Below are 6,090 nucleotides of genomic sequence, written 5' to 3' on the forward strand. Positions count from 1 at the left end.
ACTTGGTATACAGTGAAATGTGTATTATTTAGACCAATTGAGTATTTAACAATCTGTAAAATCGATGACATGGATAATAATTTACAGCGGAAAATGAGAGGCGGTGTTGGGCTCAGAGCCACCGCAGGTGACCTGCTCCAGTTCTGCAGCTGTTCATTCCCTGTTCCTCCATCCCGGGGGTGCTGATGGACAACCTGATAATTAATAGGCAACTTGGAAGACCTCGGTGCTGTTTTTTGAGAATCAATGTTTTCCTGGGTTTGGATCTTTTTCAAAGAGGGCTAAGTGACTTGCCCATGGGTGGCAGGGCAGTGACGGTGGCTCTGTGGTCATCTTTCATCCCAGCTCCCTGCAGGTGCATTTTGACTGCTCCTTCAGAAATCCTGTAATCTCTCTTCCCACAGGGGTGGGGTCCATAATTAACACTGTGAGCTTTCTAGCCCTTAGGCTAACACTGAGAATTCTGAGGCATGGCCTCCTCTGGGTTGATAGAACTAATTAGGTTTAATTAACCAATTCCAGGAATAACTAGTGGAAAACCTTGTGGGCTTGCATGGAAAGCATGGCAGTCCCCCACGTGGCACTTCCCCGCCTCCTTGCTGCTATCTCACAGATCTATTATTAATGTCTTTTATCACTTTGACAATAGAATCGTGTCTCCTTTGCTCTATTATCCTTTGATCATTGAAATGAAGCTTTGATCCCGCATTTCACATATCACTGAAATGAGTCTTTGGATCCTTGATGCCAGAAGGTAGAAACCTTCAAAGAATCCTGATTTTGTGGCAGGTTCTAAAAGTCTGCTTGAAGGATGAGACCCGGACCCTGGGTGAAGCATCCATCTCTCAGGAGAGTGGCTGGAGACCGAATGCGAGGAGCAGAGAGAGATGGGGGTTCTGCTCGCCCACTGTGCCTTCACCAGCACCAGCTGGGGGTCCTGCCATTCAACTCGACTCTCACACTAAACACCGGAGCTAGCGCAGACCCCGCATGCTAAAGAGCAAGGTCCTCTGAGACTGCTCTCATTTCAGATGCCAGCTACAAATGGGATCCCAGGCTTCCCACACTTCTGTCTGACTTGGTTACAAATTGGAGGGTCCCTAACCCCCACCTCCACTTTGATAATTCACTAGAATGACTCAGGAGACTCAGGAAAGTACCACACGACAATGACCACTTTATTACAAAGGGCACAGAGGAGGTGCCCAGGGAAGGTCTAGAGGCTCTGTGCTGCAGAGGTGGGTGCTGCCTGCCTGGTGGGTACTGCCCGCCTGGTGCATCTACACCTTCACCAGCCAGGAAGCGCCCCCAGCCTCGTTGTCCAGAGTTTTATAGGGGTTCCATTACATAGACACAGCTAAGTCATGGTCACATGATGCAACTCAGTCCCCAGCACCCCTTCCTTCCCTGGGTCAGGAGGCTGAACGCTGCAGCCCTCTAGGCCTGCGGGTGGCTTTCTGCAGAGCAGCCTCACCCTGAAGCTGTCCATCCCTCCTGTCCAGGATTCATTAGCATCACAAAAACAGTCCCAGGCTCTAGAAATCCCAGCAGGGACTGAAGCTCTGTGCCAGGAAGTGGGGGCAAAGACCACATCTATTTTTTATACACAGGCAGTTGTGGGCAAAGTGGCTGAACCCTTATCAAGGCTGTGTGCTCATAGCTGCTGGCCATGCCTTGGCCAGAAGTGACCGGCTTAAGCGCCCCCGGGGAATGCCGCTCCGCTGAGACGTAGCTTAGTTGCACGAGGGCTTCAGCTCGCTCCTAACTCGTTCTGCCTTAGAGTCAGGCCCTGCGATGCCGTGTCTAAGGGCCAGGACCTGGGGCTCTGCTGGCTGCCTCACTGCAGGCCTCAAGATGCAGCGTCAAGAAATGTTTGAATTCATGCTTCACACACTTAGCTATGAAAAACAGAACAAACAAATGAAAATCGAAAGCACTCGAACATTTTCTAAATGAGACCTTAAAGGAGATGATTTGGAGGAATCTTCATTTCTCTGAAGGTTTATGCTTTGCTTTTATTTAATGTTTTTGAGATAGGGTCTCACTCTGTCACCTAGGCTGGAGTACAGTGGCACAGTTTTGGCTTACTGCAACCTCTGCCTCCCATGCTCAAGAGATCCTCCTGCCTCAGCCTCTTGCATAGCTGGGACTACAGGTGCAAGCCACCATGCCTGGCTAATTTTGTTTATTTTTTTGTAGAGACGAGGTCTTACTATGTTGCCCAGGCTCTCTTGAACTCCTGGGCTCAAGGGGTTCTCCTGCCTTGGCCTCCTAAAGTGCTGGGATTATAGGCATGAGCCACTGTGCCCAGCCTGCTTTTGTAACCCAGACATTACCTGGGAGACTCTGTTCTTTAAGTTTCAAATGAAATAGAGACGGACTAGCTGGATTTCCTAGGCTGACTAAGAATCCCTAAGCTTAGCTGGGAAGGTGACCGCATCCACCTTTAAACACGGGGCTTGCAACTGAGCTCACACACGACCAATCAGGTAGTAAAGAGAGCTCACTAAAATGTTCATTAGGCAAAAACAGGAGGTAAAGAATTAGCCAATCATCTGTCGCCTGAGAGCACGGCAGGAGGGACAATGATCGGGATATAAACCCCGGCATTCGAGCCAGCAACGGCGACCCACTTTGGGTTCCCTCCCATTGTATGGGAGCTCTGTTTTCACTCTATTAAATCTTGCAACTGCACACTCTTCTGGTCCGTGTTTGTTACAGCTCGAGCTGAGCTTTCGCTCGCCGTCCACCACTGCTGTTTGCCGGCGTAGCAGACCCGCCGCTGACTTGGACCCTCCGGATCCGGCAGGGTGTCTGCTGTGCTCCTGATCCAGCGAGGTGCCCATTGCTGCTCCTGATCGGGCTAAAGGTTCACCATCGTTCCTGCACGGCTAAGTGTCTGGGGTTCGTCCTAATGGAGCTGAACACTAGTTGCTGGGTTCCACGGTTCTCTTCTGTGACCCACGGCTTCTAATAGAGCTATAACACTCACCGCATGGCCCAAGATTCCATTCTTTGGAATCCGTGAGGCCAAGAACCCCAGGTCAGAGAACAAGAGGCTTGCTGCCGTCTTGGAAGTGGCCTGCCACCATCTTGGGAGCTCTAAGAACAAGGATCCCCCGGTAAGAAAATCAATGGGCATCCCCACTCCCAGTACAGATACAGACACGTACACAGAGCCACACACACGGGCACACACACACACACACACACACACCCATATCTCTGTGGTCAAAACCCATCATCACTATCCTTCCCAGTCTTTCTAAAGCACAGTCAGCAAACCAGGTCACAGGTCAAATTCTGGCTCAACACCTGTTTTTACATTAAAAAACAATTATTGGGGCACAGTGGCACCCCTTTGTTTCCGGGTGGTCTACGGCTGCTTTGGTGATGCCTGAGTTGAGTTGAAGAGCTGCAGCAGATACCCCAGGGGCTGTGAAGTGGACACGATTTACCACCTGGCCTTTACAGGAAAAGGTGGCTGCACTTTTGCTGAGTGAGTTCCATGTCACCTGGATGTGGCGCTTCCTCCTGGGCTGGACGCCTGGCCTGCTGTTCCTCCCTTTGGCTCCCCCAGCATGGAGTGGGAGGCCATGTCGGCTGAAGGGGCCACTGCAGGGCCTCAGCCAGCTCCTTGAGCAATGGAAACCTGTGCATCCCTCTTCTTAAGAGTGCTGGCCGCTGCGTAGCCGGCTCCCAGCTTGCTGGTTCCAGCCCCTCCCCAGACACATTTAGCTCTTCCCTATGTTAAATCAAGGTTAGCGTAAAGCTGCCTTCTTACCTATTTTAAGTTTGGCCTAAAGTTTTCTCTGTACATTGGGAACTATAACCTAAACAGAGTTGTAAACAGACTGTATCCTACTCTTGCGCCAATCACCAAGTTTTGGCCAATCAAAGGTGGCTGACTGTTCAAACTGTGTTCAAATACAGTAAATGCTGAGCTGTTTCTGTATCTCACTTCTATTTTCTGTACATCACTTTTCTTCTTCTGTTCATAAATCTTCCACCATGTGGCTACGTTGGCGTCTCTGAGTCTGCTGTGGCTCAGGAGGTGGCCTGATTGAGAATCGTTCTTTGCTCAATTAAACTCTGATAAATTTAATTCAGCTGAAGTGTTTTTTTTTTTTTTTTTTTTTTAAATACCTGAGTCACTCTCTCTCCCTCAGTCATGTCTCCGGGCTCTGCCCCGTGGCTGGCTGTTCTCTCCAAAGCCAAGGTGGCTTTCAAGGTGCTCTGCAAATCCATGCAGTCTCCTTCTGAGAGAAGCCTTTCCTCCCTTCGGAGGCAGGAGCCGCGGCCGTCGAGTGGGTGGAAGTGGCACACGCTTCCTCTCATTGCACTGCAGTACTGGCACCCTGGTGGGCCTGGTGAGGCTGTTCTGTCTGGGATGGAGCCACAGGTGGCCCTCTGGAGTCGTGCTCAGCTGAGGCCACATCTCAAGATGGCGACTTCTCTTCCGAAAATAAAGAAGTGGCGTTGTAAGAGCAAGGCTTAGGGAATCACCAAGGCTTCTGCAACACTGAGTCAGCCAGTTTTGGAATCCACTCGCATTTTCCTTGTTTTTAGATCCAGCTGCTGGAGATCACCCTGCTCTTGGCCCTCTGGGCCCCTCCCTGTTGGAGGCCACACAAATGTTTCTTATGATTAGGCATAATTGAAGCCTGTCAGTAACAGCCTGTCAGTAACAATATGAACCTGCGATCAATTAAGCAGCTGACCAATCATTACCTCCTCCTCCCTGTCCTTGTTACCGAATAAATATGAAGGGCTGTAGAAGGTTGGGGAGGTGCCTTTGCTCACTAGAAGTGGGGAGCTGTCTTCTTCCCCAAGCTAACCTTTCCTTAAAACAGTTTCTTTTGTTTTTTGTTATCATTTCTATGTTTGTCCCTTCGTTCAGTCATAATGATGGTCTCAAGTGGTAACAGTAGTAACTTCTGTAATGATGGTTTCAAGTAGTAACAGTGGCAGTCAGCCACACCTCCCTGTGCCTTCCAGGGCGGACCCTGCCTCTGTCCTCTTTGTTGTCCTCTGAGACCCTGACTCCTGGGCTTTCTGAGAGCTCCTGGCCCCCTGCCTTTCATCGTGGCAGACACCGAGGGGGAAACCAGGACAGAGTGTCCCTGCCTCTGCATGAGAAACCTCCCAGTGACAGAGGAGGCCCCTCCCATCTCAGTTTTAGCTCTTGGCTTTTTGAAATGAAAGCTTATTTTACTTCTGATTTTATCGGGTTTTGGTTTTAAAGAGTTGGCCCCTGTCCCACCTCCTCTGGATGCCTGGGTCTTCCCTGCAGCAGGATGTCTCGCTCCACCAGCACTCTGCCCAAGTGAGGGAAGGAGGGCGGGCCACGTGGGCCTCGGGCACGGCAGCTGCGACAGAGGGAGAGACAGGCTGGAGCTGCTCGGGGTGCTCCAGGCTCACAGGTAGGAGCATCCCTCTCATCCTTCAATCCTCCCGTGTGGTCTCAGCATCTGGGCCAAACTCCTCCCAGCCCCTTCAGCTGAATCCTTCCCCAGTGGTCACACTGGGCAGGAACAGAACGGCCTCTGTCTTCATCACTTCCGTCTCCAAGCACCTTGCCCGCCCAGCGTGTTCTAGCTGCCGACTGAGACACGCCCACTTATTCTACCAATTCAGCGCACTCCATTTCCGCTCAGAAACCAAAACTTAGTGGAGAGCCCCAGCGGCCGTGGTTCGCAGAAGACTCTCCCATAAGATGCACCGCCATCCGTGTAGCTTGGCCTAACAATATGCCTGTTTTTAGATGAAAAACCTCCTCTGCCCAACACGACCCATCCCTTAGAGTTCAAAACCAAACTCACCTGGACCAAACCTGAGGCCACGTTGAAACAAGGTGCAGTGAGCTTTGCGTAAGTGTGGACAGTTTTCCGAGTTGTGGCACAGGATTCTGTCTTTGTCTTTACCTCAGCTGAAGTGGAAACTCAGTCCGTGGCCCCCGCAAATGCAGAGGTGCTGGTGACGCAGGGAGCCCATGGAGTACTTACCGGTTCCCTGAGCTTTTTCTTCATGCATGTTCTTCTGGCCCCTGAGCTGAGCTGTGAAGTGACTGACCCAGGACCCCAGCCAGGG

At 51.1% G+C, this 6,090-nt stretch overlaps 1 annotated feature.

Moving 5' to 3' along the window:
- Positions 884-1,560: an enhancer, noted in NCBI's record as "H3K27ac-H3K4me1 hESC enhancer chr10:132152999-132153675 (GRCh37/hg19 assembly coordinates)". NCBI's record gives its function as "activates a minimal SCP1, AML or CMV promoter by ChIP-STARR-seq in naive H9 embryonic stem cells {active_cell/tissue: H9 hESC(naive)}" and the evidence as "EXISTENCE:reporter gene assay evidence [ECO:0000049][PMID:30033119]".

This window comes from Homo sapiens, chromosome 10 (assembly GCF_000001405.40).
Source record: "Homo sapiens chromosome 10, GRCh38.p14 Primary Assembly".
In the NCBI taxonomy this organism is placed as follows: domain Eukaryota; kingdom Metazoa; phylum Chordata; class Mammalia; order Primates; family Hominidae; genus Homo; species Homo sapiens.